The following is a 20,330-nucleotide window of genomic DNA, read 5'->3' as shown; positions in this document are numbered from 1 at the left end:
ATTACTTTGTGTATATGAGTTAAAACAGCTGAAATGCATTGGATGCCAGGGAAATTTGCTGTGAGATTTTCTTGTTGATCAAGACATAGAAGGCTAACATTTTCTACTAAGCTCCAAGAGGAATGAATTGACGATCATGGCAACTGAGCTTCCATGCAATGATTGTTGAGAACAATGGCTGGGGAGTCTCGCTCCAAGGAATAACCTGAATACTTTCTTCCTCTACAGGTGCTGAGGAACATCAAGCATTACCTGAAAACAAGTGCTCTCAAACTATTCAATGTTATCACGTTATATGTCTATGTTATGTGAGAGCTTGCATAATCTTCCTCTAAAGGTTCAAAAACTTTTATTTAAAGACCACAGGAGCCACCCACTCTGTGTCTCAAACCACGAGGCTCATACTTGATTTCTGTAGTCATGGCACCTACCTTACAGATCCATAGATTGGAAATCAGCAAACTTTTTCTATGAAGTAGCAGATAATAAACATTTCCAGTTTTGTGGGCCATACAATCTTTGTCACAACTATTCAACTTGGCCCTTATAGTGTGAAAGCATTCATAGACATTATGTAAATGAAGGAGCGTGGTTGTGTTCCAATAAAACTTTATTTACAAAAACAGGCCGTGGATAGGATTTGGCCTGCAAATATAGTTTGCCAACACTGCCACGGAGCATAAGGAAAAGGATACACTTATCACAGCCTTCCAAGCTACAGTTAAATTCTCCAAGAATTTAGGAAGTGTTAAAACTCCAGCCACCACTCCATGTATTCCAGGTCCCTTCCCTCTCTGGTTAAAATGTAAGCTTCTCCATATTTCTACAATCTGCTTCCAAGAAAACTCTCATTTTTTTCTTCCTAACTTGCTCATGAACTCTCTAAGAATTTTGTCCTTCCTAAGCCTCTGTAGTTTCTTGGCCTTACCAAAAGCCTGGTTCTCCCCCTGAGTACACCACCTCTATAGCCTGTGTAAGTGAATGGAACATCCGGAACCTGGACTTTCAGGTCATTGACCCACTCATGCTCCAATAGTTGAGCTCTGGCGACTCCTGACAACCTCCTCTGACATTTCCATTGCCTATATTATTTCCACATTTCTATCTGCAGTCTTGACAAGAATTTCAACTTGTTTATCCTACTGCATGACTGATATCCTTTTAGAGACCTAACAAAGAACCCAAACTTAGTATTTCCAGAACAGAATTTATTATTGCTGCCCCTAAATCTGCTCCATCTTTGTCTTTTCGCCTCTGAAAATGACTTCACTTGACCCTCATTGCCTTAGTCCCAAGCTTATCTTGTTCTCTTTTTCTTATCTCCCACCTCCAAGTCATGAAAGCATATTCCAGCTCTCACCTTGTCATTGTCACTCTTTAGACTATTCTACCTTCCTCTCTTCCCTGGATCACTGGAATGACTACCAGCAACCTGATATCCCTGAGGCCTACTGTTCACAGTCTACACAAAGCAGCCAGAATTGACTTCGAAAGCACGAAGTAGATCACTCCTCCATTTTAATCTTCTGACATGAAAAAAAAAAAAAAGGAGCAAACTCCATGTATTTTTCTATTAGGCTGTACACAATATGGCCTGTGTCACTTGGATGTCATTCTTGTTTATTTTATTTTATTTATTTATTTATTTTTTTGAGATGGAGTCTTACTGGTCTCCCAGGCTGGAGTGCAATGGTGCAGTCTCGGCTCACTGCAACCTCTGCTTCCTGGGTTCAAGTGATTCTTCTGCCTCAGACTCCCGAGTAGCTGGGATTACAGGCACCCGCCACCACGTTCGGCCAATTTTTGTATTTTTAGTAGTGATGGGGTTTCACCATGTCAGAAAGGCTATTCTCGATCTCCCGACCTCAAGTGATCTCCTGCCTCGGCCTCCCAAAGTGCTGGGATTACAGGCGTGAGCCACCGAGCCTGGCCGCATGTCATTCTTAATCACTCTTCTCCGTGTTTGCTCCCCGTAGTGCCATGGGCCTTCTCTCCATTCTAAGCTCATTCTCAACTTAGTGCATCTGCACTTTTGCTCTGTCATCTTTCCAAATTGTTTTTCCCTTCATGTTTCAAAGCAGAATATTCCTTGTCATTCAGATTTTAACTTAAATGGAGTCTCCCAGAGATCCTGATCCCTCAATAGAAAGTAGGCACCCTGTCCTTCTGTATCCCTTCACCGTGGTTTAATTTTCTCTGTGGTATTCATCACGCTCTTCGCCATTTTATCTATGTTTCTTTTATGGCTCCTCCGGTAGAATGTGAGCTTCAAAGGAACAATAATTGTCTGCTTATTCAATTACGTTGGGTCCTTAGTCATCACCCCTTCTAGTTTTCTCTCCTTGGTTTTGGTTGTAAATTATCTTGATGATCATTTCAGCAACTTTCCTGCCAATTGTTCAGGCCTCTTTCTTTTCATCACACCGTTCTGCCAAGTCGTCATCCCTGGATAATCTAACTTCTACCCACTCTGTGCCACTAGTCTGCCTGATAAGACTTGCTGTAGAAAATTACATAACCAAGATTGGTACCATTATAAATTAACAGTCATCACTTCCCCTGGGCTCTCATTGTTTCCTTGCATTCTTAATATATTTCCCAATTGGCTCATGTTGGTGTGCATCACAACAGTTATTTCAAATCTCCACCCCTTCACTCTCACCAAATGACCTCACCCCGATTCCATTTAAACAAAGTCCCAAGAGAGGTGCTTTTACACCTTCCACTACCAAACCTACAAATCTTCCTTTCTTCCTTCCCTCCTGTCATACTGGCAGAGGTGGTTCTTTCTTGGATGTAGCTGCACTTTTATTTTTGCTTTGGACACTATCCTTTCCCCTCTTTCAGGATCTTGCCCTGTTAGTTATTTTCTGCTCTGTATCAGACACTTCCCCCTCTTACTGGCCCTTCCTCACTCATTGTTCTTGATAGGTTGAATTCATTTTCAGTTCCTGGCCTCCATCAACCTTACTGTCTTTCTCGCTCTTTCCTTTTTCTCCCTCTTATGGGATTTCTAGCAGCTTCCTCTGCTTGCATCATTCCCTCTTCTGTTCCTCAGTGCCCCTTCCCCTCATATCATATGGCTGATTCCCTTTCCTGCAGATTTTAGCTTAGATGCCAATTCTTCAAAGTGGTGTTTTCTTTCTGCAGACTATATTAGGGCCCTTATTATTGCTTCTATCACATTTTTATTTTCCTTTTTAAACCCCCATCATAGTTGTAATTATTTGTTTAATATCAGTTTTCCTTGATCAGGGAATGAATGCTCCATGAGGGAAGGGACTGTGAGTATCTTGTTCGCCACCCGATATTTGTACCTGACACAGCACTGGTATTCACGCAGTGGCTATTTTTTGGATGAATGAATACAAGAAAAAGGAAAGGGAGGAGAAAGAATGACAAAGGAAAAGGAAGAACAACCAAAAGAAAAGCACACCCAAAAGCCTGAAGTTGATAAGACTGTATCTATTTCATACTTCCTTTCACTAGAGTCACCCTATGGCTCCCAATAGATGGGAGGCCCTGGCCTTCCTATCAGGTAGGTGGTCCAGTCTCACTTCATTACCCATATGGGTGATAAGCATTCTAAGGTAGCTCCAAGCTCCTCCAGCCTGATGTGCTTAATACTGCATCTCCTAGTATTGTTGCCCAATGAGTCTGATGTGTACTCAGACCTCCATGAGGGTGGATTTGGTGTGGGGATAGGGAGAAGTATGTTGTGCTCCTCTTAGTGGTCATGACCCCTAACAAGGAAGTTTTGGGTGGAGGGGAGAGATAAAAGTTTGTAGGGGTAGACTAGGCTAATAGGAGGATATTGCAATGATGAAAAACGAGGTGATAAGGATCTATGTTAGAGCAGTGAGAACTCTGGCTTTATACTGCTAATCATGTGTATACTACTGAATATTAACACACAGCTTAAAAATCACTAAAAACAGAAGACTAATTCAAACAGTTGTGTTCTTGTGTGTTTCCGCCTAGGGAGATTAGGCTAAGAAATTAATAAAATAAAAATAAAAAGCTAATTTGAACATGTCAAATTGGGTTAGTGAATAACAAGTACCTTGTTTTAAACAAAGGAGGACGTATTCAAAATATCAGATTACTGTTTTAATTAGTAAGTAGGGTTAAAAGAAAAAAAGAGAGAAAAGAAACAAAAAAATCCCTTTAGAATTCAATTATAGAATCTTCTTAGATAAATGCTATGTGAATTTGATTTTCCTTTTATAATCTTTACCGTGTCACATAAAGAGTAGCAGATGACATAAGCAGATGGACTTGTGTTATCTGCTACTGCTTAAAACCTTCTCTAACATTTTTTTGGCCATATTCGTAAACATAGGGTATGGTAGAACTAACTTACATCTGTTTAAAATCCTTAGTAACTTCTGTTAAAATTTATTTTAGTAAGTTATAACATGGCAAGGCTTTTCTTTTTTTATTATGGACAATATTCTATCCATTTTAGAAATAAAGTCTGAGGTATATTTCAATACTTCTAGATAACTATAAGTTTGAAAAAGGAAATGTGCCTTTGCTTGAGCTTTCATATGGGTGAGCATTCCTAAGGAAATCATTGATTTTGGATGGCAGTTTCAATTCATGGAGGAAAAGGGAGAAAGAGATGGAGATTCTTGTTTTAATTCATAATTTCTACAGCTTTTCACAATTTTCAAAGCATTTTAGTACCATCAATTTCATTCTTTACCTAGGTGTGGCATTTTGATAAGTAATATGTTTTTCAAATGAGCAGAAAACAAACCACTCTCTGTTTACATTACCTTCATTAACTTTATCTGAGAAAAGAATGCAACAATCACCACTCCTTACTTGGTAAGAATTTGCCTGATCATAGTTAAAGCAACCACAGGGAATTTCTTGAGCATTGTACCCAGGAAATGTCACACAGAGTCTTAAGAAATCTTAAATAATTAACCTTAATGAAAGGGATAGGTTAATGCTTTTGTAGTTATTGTTCAGGTTATGACCAAATTCAAATCTAATGAAATTTATGTTTACTCCAGTTAATTTTTAAAGAAAATTATTTCTTAAAACAGGACCTGTAATAAATGTAGTTAGTTGTAGAACTAAACAGCAGTAAGAAATATACTTTCTGAAATAATAGTCATAACTTTCAAGTTCTGATTATATGACTAGTTTTCTTTATTTTAGAACGAATCTGATGACTTTCTAAAATTGTCTTAAAAAGCAAGATTTAAAAACTAGAAGCTGAAAGCCTCAAAGAAGCTCCAGGTCAGATGTAGTTAAACACAGAAAATGTGTTAGTGAAGTATACATTCACTTTCAGGCAAATACTCTTAAAAGAGTTTCCTTAGCAGGAATCATTGAGGAAGGACAATTCCTTCAGTTGTGTCTGGATTGTTGCAGCAGGTCACTGATTTCAGACGGACTTTATGGAGTCCTAGAGTCCCATAGAATTCCCTGAGAGACTGTCAGTGGGTAGCAAGGAGATGAGAGGGGGTGGGCTACTTGGAAGATATCCTAAAGCATGTAGTCGAAACACAAATCCAAGAAAGTAACCACATAACCCACATTGACTCGGTACTTTTTTTTGTTCTGGCAGATACCTAGTCAGAACAGAAAGAAATAAAATAATGATAATAAGAATAATATCATGAATAATTTTTGTGGAGAGCTTACTAGGTCTTAGGTACTAGAATAAATATCTTACGTATATTAATACATGTAATTTTCACCTCATCCTCACTAGGTGGCTAATATTATTATTATCCGCATTTGTGTTTGAGGAAACTGAGGCAGAAAGTAATGAAATACCTTGTTCAAAATTTATCCAGGCAGCAAGTGGTAGAGTCCAGATTGAGGCTGACTCTAAGCTTCCCTGAACTTCCCCCTTCTAAAGAGCAGCTCTGCCTTTATATTTGATTTATTGAGGTTTCACCTAAGATGTTTTATTTATTTATTTATTTATTATTATTTTTTTTTATTATACTTTAAGTTTTAGGGTACATGTGCACAATGTGCAGGTTTGCTACATATGTATACATGTGCCATGTTGGTGTGCTGCACCCATTAACTCGTCATTTACATTAGGTATATCTCCTAATGCTATCCCTCCCCCCTCCCCCCACCCCAAAACAGGCCCCAGGGTGTGATGTTCCCCTTCCTGTGTCCAAGTGTTCTCATTGTTCAATTCCCACCTATGAGTGAGAACATGCGGTGTTTGGTTTTTTGTCCTTGCGGTAGTTTGCTGAGAATGATGGTTTCCAGCTTCATCCATGTCCCTACAAAGGACATGAATTCATCATATTTTATGGCTGCATAGTATTCCATAGTGTATATGTGCCACATTTTCTTAATCCAGTCTATCATTGTTGGACATTTGGGTTGGTTCCAAGTCTTTGCTATTGTGAACAGTGCCACAATAAACATACATGTGCATGTGTCTTTATAGCAGCATGATTTTTACTCCTTTGGGTATATACCCAGTAATGGGATGGCTGGGTCAAATGGTATTTCTAGTTCTAGATCCCACTGACTTCAAGCTACCAATGACTTTCCTCACAGAATTGGAAAAAACTCCTTGAAAGTTCATATGGAACCAAGAAAGAGCCCGCACGGCCAAGCCAATCCTAAGCCAAAAGAACAAAGCTGGAGGCATCACCCTACCTGACTTCAAACTATACTACAAGGCTGCAGTAACCAAAACAGCATGGTACTGGTACCAAAACAGAGATATAGACCAGTGGAACAGAACAGAGCCCTCAGAAATAATGCCACACATCTACAACTATCTGATCTTTGACAAACCTGACAAAAACAAGAAATGGGGAAAGGATTCCCTATTTAATAAATGGTGCTGGGAAAACTGGCTAGCCATATGTAGAAAGCTGAAACTGGACCCCTTCCTTAAACCTTATACAAAAATTAACTCAAGATGGATTAAAGATTTAAATGTTAGACCTAAAACCATAAAAACCATAGAAGAAAACCTAGGCAATACCATTCAGGATATAGGCATGGGCAAGGACTTCATGTCTAAAACACCAAAAGCAATGGCAACAAAAGCCAAAATTGACAAATGGGATCGAATTAAACTAAAGAGCTTCTGCACAGCAAAAGAAACTACCATCAGAGTGAACAGGCAACCTACAGAATGGGAGAAAATTTTTGCAATCTACTCATCTGACAAAGGGCTAATACCCAGAATCTACAAAGAACTCAAACAAATTTACAAGAAAAAAGCAAACAACCCCATCAAAAAGTGGGTGACGGATATGAACAGATACTTCTCAAAAGAAGACATTTATGCAGCCAAAAGACACATGAAAAAATGCTCATTATCACTGGCCATCAGAGAAATGCAGAGATACCATCTCATACCAGTTAGAATGGCGATCATTAAAAAGTCAGGAAACAACTGGTTCTGGAGAGGATGTGGAGAAATAGGAACACTTTTACACTGTTGATGGGACTGTAAACTAGATGTTTTATTTGTTAAATAATGTTTTACTACTAAACACAACTAATAACCACCATACAAGATAAACAAAATAATTATTTCTAATTAAGGATGTTAAAATGATGAGCTACATCAAATAGCAATCAGATAGATCAGCTACTATTTTCTGAGCATTTGGGCAGTTATTTCTATTTGAATTCCACCCAATAATCCCAGTATAGTCTCAATGTGTTTTTGAGGTTATTTTGGTGTAACATATTGGCATTAGAATATTTATAACATGCTTTTCTCCTTGATTCTTAATCGTCCTAAAAATCTTCCTTGTACAATTCAAAAATTTGCTAACAAAATTTGCTAATCTGTTCATTTTCAAGATAATGCAAAATGATTATTCAATATGTAAATGCATTAAAATGATGTCAAGTCACTTTTATATGACTAGGAACTAACAGCAGGGGAGTCTTAGCTAGAAGCAAACATAGATCCTGAAGTTTATACCTGTTTTGCCATTACTGTACTCAACAGCTACAGATGCTTAGAATCAGGTCATAGAGAAAAGTCCAAGTTGATAGGTCAAATGAAAAATGATACTTTAAAAGATTAAAAGTCAAGAATTCCCAACCAAGAACAGAAAAGATTTGTTGAGATATGAATAGCAGTTATTTTGTGTGTATCAGATATTTTTGGTTTCTAGTACCTGAGGATAGAAGAGTCAGTGATACCCACAGACATACCTACTTATATTCCACACCAATGTGTTTACTTCTAGCTCTTAATGATGGGGCTGAAGGCCTACAATTCAACAGGGCCATTCAATTCATAATGTCACCCAGGGAATACATTAATGCCAACCACTATTTCTCAGCAGAGAAAGCTTCTCATTCTGAATTCCTGTGAAGCACTTTCCTTCTTCGTTGGCCACACAGTCTGAAATATTTAGTTCACAATGGAAAAAGATAAAAACTTCAACTCTATCCGTTTTTTTTCAGGCTAAAGAGAAATAAACCTTAATGCCTCTCAAGCTTGTGATAGGTGACCTTTGTTGTCTGACAGGAAAATGAAAAGCCCCCTATTGTTATATTTGGCTTAATAAGGTGCTTGAGGTAGTATGCTCAGTAGCCAAAACTGACTGGTGATTTCCTTTCTAGATGACCCATTAAAATTGGCTGAAGATAATGAATTCATCCATCACTTATGACTAAGTGTACTGTCCCCTGCATGCACTCAGGATAATAGCATTTCAAAATGAAGGGTATTAAAATCATCAGATAAATCTAACATCACTGAGGAAAGTCATTTCAAAATGATCACCCGGAGGTCATCATTATGCACACTGATGCCAGTTTCCAACTGGTTGAGGCCCAAAATTGGAGAAGGGAACAGGGCAAGGAGCAGTTTCTTGTGAGTGACATCACTATTTTTTAGCTACTAGGTTTCTCAGCCTTTTTCAGGAAGAAAGAGACTGAGACATAGAGAGATAAGAATGTTTTGCAGTTCCAGGTTTGTAGGAAATTTTTCTGCATTTTACAAAACTGAACCTTTATTTATTTTATTAATATGAAGCCATATGAAGTCATAATATTTCCAGAGAATAGGATGAAAATGTGATGAAAGACACGCAGCTTTGACACAGCTCCAGGAGAAGCTGTCTCTAGCATAAGAGTGAGGGCTAACTCAGCTTCATTCTGGACTCTACCACTTGCTGCCTGGATAAACTTTGAACAAGGCATTTAATTACTTTCTGCCTCAGTTTCCTCAAACATAAATGGGGATAATAATAATATTAGCCACCTAATGAGGATGAGGTGAAAATCACATGTATTAATATATGTAAGATATTTATCATAGTAACTGGGACCTAGTAAGCCCTCCACAAAGGTTATTCATGATATTTTTCTTATCATTGTTTTATTTCTTTCTGTTCTGACTAGGTATCTGAAAAAAAAAGTACTGAGTAAATGTGGTTTTTGTGGTTACTTTCTTGGATTTGTGTTTCAACTAAATTCCTTAGGATATCTTCCAAGCCATCTTGCATTTTCTTTTATTAACTGGATTTCATAACACTCATGATCAGAAACTAATCTTGTTTAATCCAACTTACCTATTACTTTGGGAAACGTGGGATACTGAAAGCATAATATTGGACTTAGTTTGTTGGTGGGGGGTGGTAGAGCAAGGAGTCTGGAATGATAAGAACCCTCTGGAACATGAATGGTCTGATGTTCTTTCATTGTGGAAGGTGATAAAAAGACAGGATAGGAGTGTCAATCTATCTCAACCAAAACCTTCTATCATTCATTATGGGTGACTGTTGTTATGGTAAAGGAACATAGTGGAGCAGAATGGATGTTGGAGAAGATATTACAACCAGTTTACCTATAAAGCAAAATATGCCAAATTCCCCTAATCTACTTTCTCCCTATTACCCTGGGACCCTATAGGAGCTAAAGTAGGATCCTCCTTCCCACTAAACCTGTAGGGAACATTCTCATTTGTTTTCTTTTTATCAGATTAAGAGACTATAACCAACTACTGTGTACAGGGCAAACTTGCTGATGAAAAGTTTCACTTATTTGTGGCCCATCTTTATTAAGAAATATCTACTTAGCTAATTAACTCTTTGTTTAGATCCTAGGACTACAAATATAAGTAAGATATAATCCTCGCCTTCAGGGATCTCATAGTCCAACAGAGGAAAACCCTATGATAGAGTGGCTCTAACAAGTAACAAATCATTTAAGCATAAAAATTGTTCTAGAAACTGAGAGGAGGAAGAAGCTGGTTGACCAAGTAATCAGTTGCTGCTGACCAATTTTTATAGCATCAGTGAAAATTCATTCATTTAAATGAAGCTCATTCAAAGAGACAGATGGTCTCAGAAATTAAAATATCCCTAGATGCTTTCCTGAGTTAACATATTTTGATAGAACTGAATAAAAAGAAGACTTCTTTAGGCTTTAATGTTTTCTATGTTATAGCACTGAAAGAGGTGATTCTTATTCAGCAAGGACTTCTTCTAGGCATTCTTGGTCTCTATGTTTGCAATTTGATTCTATTAATATTTATAGAACAGCCACAGGGTGCTCAGCGCAGTCACCAGTTATATAATTTCATTGAGTTTCACTCTTAAAAAGCAATGTTGGAGCATCCAACAGGGATAAATATTTAGTGGTGAAACTATGTATCAGAAGAAATCATTTAAATTCATTACTCACCATGCCCCTGAGCTATAATTCTATAGTATTGGAGGCAAAACTAAGAATAAAACCCCAAATGCCATAACTTGGGTTTAGAATTCAAGACAATGAATGTAGCTATGTAAATTCTATATTTCACAAATAAGATTATTATTCCTTACCATAGTAAACTGAAATGTAAAAGATAAGGGAAGAGTGAGATTAAATGTCTTAACCTGACGGTTAATTGATTTATAAGCTTCAAGTTTCGTGGGCCACTTCTACTAAACTACATACATTGGAATATTTTTAAATATAGTAAAATTTTGGTTGCAAGCTAATACATAAAGGTCAAACAGAAATTAGATTATATTTAATATATGTATCTATTCATCTTTTCTTGTAGATATTTTTAGATTTATACCTCCTTACTTTACCATTTATCACTCTTTCCGCCAGCACCATTCCTTGGATGGGTTCAGAGTTCCCAACTTAAAAATTCATTCTCAATTGTATGAATCATCTTTTTAACAATTCTTATTATTTTGGTAAAATATATATATAACATAAAAATTACTATTTTAACCACTTTTAAGTATACAATTCGGTGGCATTAAGTATATTTACAATGTTGTGCAAACATCATCACTATCTAGTTCCAGGAAACTCCATGCCCATTCAGCAGTCACTCCTTCCCTCCCTCCTTCCCCTAGATCATGGAAACCACTAATATGCTTTCTGTATCTTTGTATTTGTCTATTCTGGATTGTGTGGCTAATTGAGATGACTGGTGCTGACCTGGGAACAAACATTTTAGTGCCTGGGATGCTGACCTCATTCTTATTCTGGGAAATGCTTTCAAAATTTTACTTCTTTTCAACTTTGGAATGCATGTTCCAACACTTACCATTACTTGCCCCGCTGTAGGATACTGACTTTTAACTCTGTTTTGCCTTTGGGCTCACATTCTGTTTATATTAGACACCCAAGTTTTTAAGAATGCCATCTGTGAATGGCATGTAAATGTAAATGGCATGAGTGTAAATGACATAGGTGAATGAATGTAAATGGCAATAGGGTAGTAGAATGAGTAATTAATTCAGAGCTACTACTTGGGGTTTACTCTCCAGAATGATCTAAAAATTCAACACATGTTTATTGAGTCCTTCCTAAGTGCAAAGTGCTGTGAGTGTGTGAAGGTAAAAATTTCAGGGGACTATGGATGGATGCACAACACTCAATCCCTCCAATGATAGAAAAGAAAAAAAGGACAATCTCTCAGGCCTCACCACCAAAGGAGGCCCAGCATCTTATTGAACTATGGGATATTAGAGACAGTATGTCTCAGTTGGCAATTCTACTTGATCCTTTATATCAGCTATTCTGCAAATCCATATCCTTTGAATAGTGCTTGAATCAATGGGCATCTCTGAAAGTTGTCCAAAACGCTTTGACTGATGACAATCCACATGAGTGGCAATTTTGCCTGTTATAGTCTCTGGGAAAGGGAGGCCATCTGAATCACTTATGCAGATGCTTATGGTAAGTGTCTGTTTTATGATGAAATTGACTGCTGTGAAGCTGCTGATCAAGCCTGCACTGCCCTGGGTGACAACACTAATAGCTGGATCTTTCAGTGTATCAGAACTCATAACACATTGACCATCATAGACTGGGCACAAATTAAAAGACTTTATACTTTGAATGCAGAGCTACCACTGCATGAAAGATTTGTGACTTTCCCCAAAAGTTGATGGGGAGGCCACTTTGCATGGGCTATGACCTCTGCTTACTCCTGGGAGTCTATCAGGCATATGGCTCCTTTTGGGGCCATAAAGGTGGCCTGATTGCTGTTGATACTTGTCAGGGTATGGAGTTGTTGCAGTCTGATCAGCTGACTCTGGTCACAACATTGTGGCCCTTGAACTAATCGAATGTGTCATGTTTTTGGCTTTTCAGGCCATTTTTAGTCCGACAATTGTGAGCCTTCTAACACAAAAGCCACATGGCCGTGGACTGATAGTCAAAATATTCAATAGCTTTTCATGCTCTGTGCTTTCCACAGGCATCTGGTATTTGGTGCACTGGAATGGCCCCCTCAAAAGTTGACTCAAAAACATTTTGACTCTACCTCTCTCACCTTCTTCTGATCCATACACCTTCATGAAGCAGTTTGCTCATTGAATGCACTGTTCTCAGAAAGGGATTATCGCCTTTAGGCCACTTCCTGGGTTATGATCGAGGCAAAAAGCATTGGATTGGGAAGTTATACAGACCTACTTTGAAAAATTTGGGATTCTGTTCCAACCATGCCTGGGCATGATTCTTCTTTCTTTTTCCTTAATGACATCACCGTTTTAGTGTGGTTTATGCCTCCATTGGATGGCAGCCTGGTCTAGGAGATTCAAACTTTATTTGATTCAGCCACCTGGATTCTATTCTTGAATTGACATGATCCAAGATCATATGGCTAATGACCACTTGGCTTAGTACATTAGTCATGAATTCCCACAAAATGGACAACATAAGACAAAATAGAGAACATAATGGGTCTTTGAAAGATTTAGTAAAATGCCTTTATCATTCCTGTGGCTGGCTTTTCCTGATGAAATGTCTGGATGCAACTAGGAGGAGATTAGAAAAAAATGTAAAGCTATAGCTACTGGACTAGGACATGCTTTTTTGGGGAGGTTTTGCAGGGAGGTGAAATGTGAGCAATGACCTGGAGGGAAACACTGTAGACCCTGAGAAGTACAAGAGAATGAGGGACATTAGTGATCACTGACTTTCAGAATCAACACTGGAACTTTTTTCACAAAGGAAAATACTCTGATAAGGCTCTCTGAAAGTTTTGTAAACACCTCGAAATAGTTAACTAACGGTTGGTCTGTCATCTTCTGCCACATGATTTTGACTACGATTCGATCTGTACTCCCTAAAACTTTACCTGGGAGTCTGTTGGAAACACCAGGGAGGGCCGAGCTCCTGCACTTATAGTGCAAAATACCCCATCAGTACCTCAGAATATTGTTTCTAACCCCATTCCTGCAGCCATTGTAGTGACATGGAAAAACAGGCAGGTTGGACTGATATCCCGAGGCAGTCTCTTCAGAAACAAGGAGTAGATTTAATTATTTGAACTGAACTGGAAATCTAAGCCCTGCCAGTTATCTAAGAAATTGTGTTGGAAGCACTGCCTCCTGTTTCCTTAATTGATATAGGTCCCAGTTAGGAGGCACTGACATTTAATTTGGTTCCAGCCTCCGTTCAGATTAAGTACTGTGGCTGATGAAGTGGTGTACTCAAGAGAAAATTTACCAAAAGACAAGAGTATAGAAATGAAGAGGAAATATCATTGGGAGACAGTTCTCCATGGGTTTCTTCCTTTTCTGCACATCTTGCGAGCAGAGGGACTAACTAACCTTTGTTCAGGGATCTCTTTTAAAGGATTTTTGTGTGGCAAACAGCCTCAGAAGTCGGAGCTATTTTCACCAAGGACGTGTTACTGTATATTATAAAACACTAGGATTTCCTAAGCTCAGGGTAACTCTGCTGTAATTCCATTCACTCCTTATGCAGGTGTCACCAGACCCTTTTTACATTGTCTTATGGGAATTGGGACATAGGGGTCAGCACAAGAAAATTGACACTCTAACCAATGCTCTTTCTGCAAGTAATAAACTGTGCTTTGTTTCTGACCCAGGAGTCTCTTATCTTCTGCCAGCATCCATGGAACTGGCAGAAGCTTGCTCAACTTGCTAACTTAAAAGCAGGTTAAAAATTTTAGACTCTTTACTATTTCTTAAGAAGCCTGCCCTGATATAGGGTCTAAGCTGTGATGTGGATGATGCTGTTTGTGAAAATAAAATTTCCAAAGGTTGAAGCCAGATCCACCAGCCAGAATTGCTAATGAAAATATAGATCATTCTAATATGCTTTGGAAAATCAGAGAAATGAACTTGAGGTTTGATGATTGGCTTTACTTAGAAAGTATGAATTTTTGGTGGGCTAATCAACTGCCTTTCTATTTTAGCTAAATTGACTAAATAATATGATCCCATATTAATCATATTCCTTAACCAAAGAGCCAAAACACTAAATGCTTCTTGGTTATAGAAACTAAGCATAAATAACTGCTAATTCCTGCATACTTGAATAAGTAACTAGAACACAACTCTCATAATATAAACCAAGATAGAAAGAAACCTAGTTTTGCAAACTGGGTTATAGTTTTGAAGTTAAAGGAAGGTAGGGATCAGGTCCCCCATTTTCAGAAAGAGGCACCATTGTGATAGTGTAAATTGATTTGAGAAACAATGCTGAAAGCCCATGGTGAGTACCGAAGGACACTGGGTTAAGGTCGCAAAGACGATTCACAGCACAAATGGGGAGTTTCAGGTTGGCAGAAAGAAAACCCTTCGAGATGCATAATGGAGAGAGTGACAAAACTGAGCCCCACAGAATGTGGAAAGCTGGACAGCTTAAATGTATCTTTTCAAACTCATGCTAGCAAGGAATGGATTACTATATTGCTAAATCTGAAGGTGTGGTATATTGGAGCTAGGAGGTGGTGTGCATTCTGCAATCAGTGGGTTGAAAATGTTGGGAAAATCAGGGAACGGGAAATGAGTCAAGGAGCTGCTGCCTTCTGGAAACTTAGTATCTATGAGAATAGTACACACTGAAGGAGCTGAGGGAGTGGAGAATGGAAAACAGAAGACTGTGCTCCAGGAACTGGGAAAGATTGCCTGAAGAGGAACTAGGATAGTGCCAAAGCATACTTTTCTTTGACCTCATAATTGTTTTCTTGGAGCTTCTAGCATGCTTAGTTAGGAGACTCATCTCCGCATGCAAACGACAGAATGTTTATTGTTATTACTGGTGCCATTATTATTACATGAATATAAATGATTATGTCACACTAAAATATGTCTTTGGACCAAAAAGTAATAAAATTTTGTCATTTTATTACTTTATCGAGTTGAAAGTCACATGAATTCATTTTATTTCTATTTAGCTCTGGAGAATAAATTTGAATTCTTTCCTTCAGTGGCAATATTGCTTTTAGCAATTTCTATCAAAAGATGACAGATGAAATAATTTTGGAAAGATGGGTAGGACTAAATATATGGTTTTATTAATGGGGTCTACCGTATGCATTTGCATCATGAAAATATGAATATGTATAAAACATACTTGTAAATTCTGATTTCCTAAATCACACCAGCCTTGGGGAGGGATAGGAAGATAAAACTTGGGTAACCTTCAGAGTGGCATTACTCAGGTCTCAAGTCAGATCTTGAAGTTTGTAACTATACTTATTTTAGATTGCAAACTTTGTTATGTTTCCTATTTTATAGGTAGGAAAAAAAAAGCAGATTACTTAGGGAAATATAACAGATACTGAACCAAACTCCAACTGAGTGTTGGTTAGAGAAAAGCAGGGATCAGGAATCCTATTAGCAGATGAGGGCTTTCACGGATCTTGGTTCCCTTTCACCTCTATTTCTCCATTATTTGCATCTTATACATACTTTGTGCGTCCAATAAAAATACATCTCAAATGCAATGTGACATTCCCCAAGTGAAGATCATCCCTTTCCATTTTGAAGTAGGATGGCTTTGTTATTGCAAGAATAACTTCCTTCCCTTCGCTGTGTTCCTCCTGTGATAATAATGCCAAGACACAATTATGGTTATTCAGCAAACAGATTTAGTTCTGGTTTCTGCTACAAACTAACACAGAAAAAAACCCCCAGAAAACTGGCTCAGTCATTCAAGGTCAAGGTTAAAGAATTCTTTTTTCTAGTTTTGATTTAATTTGGATGCCACTGCCATGTGGTCACAAAGATCCTTTGCTTGGCCAAACTTCAGTCAGGCTTCTGAAATTTCTCCTTAGCCCATCTCTGTACTTCCTTATAACATCCTGGCTTAGCAAGGCAGTTTAGTTCAATATCTGCTCACACCAGATATCTGATTGGATTCTTCATCCTTCACCATCCCCCAGGTGACGTCTCATTACCCTGGCCTGCATTCAGCAAGAATCCTGTTAGGTTGGTTTAGCCAGAATCCCCCTTACCTCTGATGTTTCCTCTTAGTAATTTTCCATCCTTTGACCCCCTGCTTTGCTCCTTGGATGTAAATTCCCACCTGCCCATGCTGTATTTGGAGTTGAGCCTGATCTCCCCAACCACAAGACTCTATTGCAGTGGTCTCTATACCTATTGCAATGGTCCTGAATAAAGTTTTTCATACTGTGCTTTAACAAACATCATTAAATAATTGTTTCTTTTGTTTTTTTTTTTTTTTTTTTTTGAGGCAGAGTCTCGTTCTGTCGCCCAGGCTATAGCGCAGTGGCACGATCTCGGCTCACTGCAAGCTCTGCCTCCCGGGTTCACACCATTCTCCTGCCTCAGCCTCCCGAGTAGCTGGGACTACAAGCGCCCACCACCACGCCCGGCTAATTTTTTGTATTTTTAGTAGAGACAAGGTTTCACCGTGTTAGCCAGGATGGTCTAAATCTCCTGACCTCGTGATCCACCTGCCTCGGTCTCCCAAAGTGCTGGGATTACAGGCTTGAGCCACCGCGCCTGGCCTAAATAATTGTTTCTTTAACAATGGTGTCACTTTTTTTTTTTTTTTTTTTTTTGAGACAGGGTCTCACTCTGTTACCCAGGCTGGAGTTTGGTGGCTTGATCATGGCTTACTGCAGCCTCAACCTCCCCAGGCCCAGGTGATCCTCCCACCTCATCCTCCCAAGTAGCTGGGACCACAGGTGCACACCACCACACCCAGCTAATTTATGTATTTTTCTGGAGAGACGGGGTTTTGCTGTATTGCCCAGGTTGGTCTCGAACTCCTAGGCTCAAATGATCCTCCTCTCTTGGCCTCCCAAAGCGCTAGGATTACAGGTGTAAGCCATCGTGCCCTACCTACGTTTAATAAACAATCTTGCCATGCCACTCATGTGGCAGTGCAGGGAAAACATCTTGGGTGTCTGGAACAGGGTAAGTAAACACCACAGTGAGGCAGAATCGGTGGCCACCACCTGGTGTGAACCTGGATAGTGAGAGTTAAGGCCTCTCTGTACAGTAGCATCTTCCCAAGTCAGGAAAGGGCCACAGATTTGACATCACAGCTTTCTCTCCCTGGATTCAGAACACTGTTTTCTCCTTAAGAACCTCACAGGAAGGCACAAATATACTTCTAGGGTAATATCTAGCAAGAGAGAATAAAATAACAATCTCAAGGCTGCCTTTAAGGGGCAATAGTGAAGTTATTCCCAAACTGAGGGGGAAACATTTTTATCCCCAGCTCACTTATTGCCTTATTTGCTGGAGTTGATTCCTTTGTATTCCTTAAGAATTATTAGCTAATATATTAATGAGGGTCACTGGGAGATGGGATGTGATCATTAAACAGGGAAAAGACGAGCTTCACACACAAGCTTTAGTCTACTTTTCAGTTTTGCCCAAAGTTGGATAGGGTCTTGGTTCCTCCCCACCTTCACATTTCCACTATTCACATCTCCTGCACACTTTGTGCATCCAACAATAATACACCTCAAATGCAATGCTGTTTCCTGAGCCTCTTAAGGAGCTTATTTTTATCATGCCAAGAACTTTCTGCTTTCCATGAAAGTAGTTCTTTTAGTTAGCACCTTGAATATTCCTTTTTCTAAATTCTTGCTCTCAAATGAAGAACCGCTTTGAACACTACAAAAAATCTAAGTAGAGAAGAGGACTGGGAGAAAAACAGACAGTGGCCATCTGTTGCTCTGGCTATCCTTGTGCAAATTGGGAAAGCTGTTTCTTTTCTTTTTTTAAAAGACATGTTTAATTTTGAAATTATATAAATGTTTAAAGTAGCTAAAAAGCCCAATATTAAACTAATAATTTATCTCAAAGTTTATGAAACATGATTGACTTTACTCACCTTCTAGCACATAAACATACCTTCTAGCACATAAACATCCGAATAAATATTATCAAAATCAGATTACAAAATGGGGAGCTTTATTCTTACTCAATTGGTAGTATCATTTTCTAAAACTTTTTAGAAATAAACTTTGGCAATTGGCTTCAAAACTAAATTAAAATTAGACCAAACATTATTTTTACTATATAATCATATTTTTTCTTTTCCCCAACTTTTCATAAGACTTGAAGCCATATATCTCCTAGCTGTTTTCAAAATTCAAATCTGTTATCAACACAATTTGTTATATTTTATTTTTCAAGACATTTTCTTTTAGTTTCAGAAAAGATCCCTGATTCTATAGAAGTAACAATGAAAAAAATGTCTAAAGCCACCAATGAAAACCAATATTAAAAAAGTATTATAAAGAGTCAACAATTTTTGGGTGTGTGGCATATGGCAGGTTTGTTTTAAAAAGTCACTTTTCTAAATGTTATACCCCATATTTTGTCTGGTTTCAAAACCAATGTGATTGAGGAAATCAGCTTTGAGAGTCATAATAACTTCCTGAGTTTTCGTTCGTTTGTTTCTTTATTGTCGCGAGATCGCTTATTGCTCACATTGAACCATTTATTTATTCTTCTATAAAGATGCCAATGCCACAGTTTCAGCAGAGAAGCAGTCAGTAGATGTAAGAGGTTCTTTTCTGAAAGAAATAGATTCATGCTTCTTGTCTAGCATTTATGCAGTTATTCTGATAATGAATTTCTAGGTCAATTTTGTAAGTGGAAGGTATACAACTCTCACAACCAAATAGGCATTTGGAATCTGTAGTAAGAAGCACTAGACAATTTGAAAGAAGCACTAGACAATTTGAAAACAAAGTCAGAAACAGGAACTCTTAATGAAATTGATAACGAATATTCAGTATATAATATGAAAGATAGCTAACTGCAGAAATCATACACTAAAGAAAAAATAATAAAATTCACCCACTCTAAGAAGGCATTTGTAAACATTTTAATAACACCAAGTTGTTGTTTTAATATTTAAACCTCATCAAGATAATTACAGCAATTGAATTCAGTGGGTCCAAATGCCTGTCCATGGATAAACTGCATCAGAATTACCTGGGGAGTTTTAAAATTGTTTCCACTTTGGAAACTTTTGATATAGTCCCTAGGGCCTTAATTTAAAACTATTGAAACAAAATTGCAAAGATCAAGGTATCTTTAATTTAAAAAATATCTCAGGTGATTCCGATACAGTTTAGCTATGGACAGGACTACATTCAAGAACTCCAGGTGCAAAGGAGAGTATCCTTAGCAGTTGTCTCAGAGAAACTGCAGAGTAGAATAACCTTTATCGATCAGAGATGAACAACACACGACTCCTGCTTTAAAAAAACTCTGTTAGGGGAAAGGAGTTGGAGGTTGCCAAGAGTGGGTTCTCTGCAGACGCTGAAGAGAGAGAAACCTGAACAATTCTGAAGAATCTAGATGGACTTTGAAAAATGTGGAGGCTTTTACTGAGTAATATAGGATGTTAAGTTCAGCAGGTGATGGAAGATAGGGGCAAGACACTACGTGTACGAAGGGATAGGTCTGTAAGAGAACATGTAATGATCTCTTAAAATGTTTGCTGGGCCTCTCTCCTTAGAGTTAAATTTCCCTGCAGGGGATCTTTGGCAGATGTCCTTTGAGCTGAGAGCAGAAGGGCAAAGGGCATGACCCTTGCCCTCTAGCTGGTCCGTGTATTCTCTTATGCAGCTGTTAGAGATGCTTATCAGCCTTCAA

This window comes from Homo sapiens, chromosome 13 (genome assembly GCF_000001405.40).
Source record: "Homo sapiens chromosome 13, GRCh38.p14 Primary Assembly".
Taxonomy (NCBI): Eukaryota; Metazoa; Chordata; class Mammalia; order Primates; family Hominidae; genus Homo; species Homo sapiens.
Note: the sequence above shows the minus strand (reverse complement) of the source record.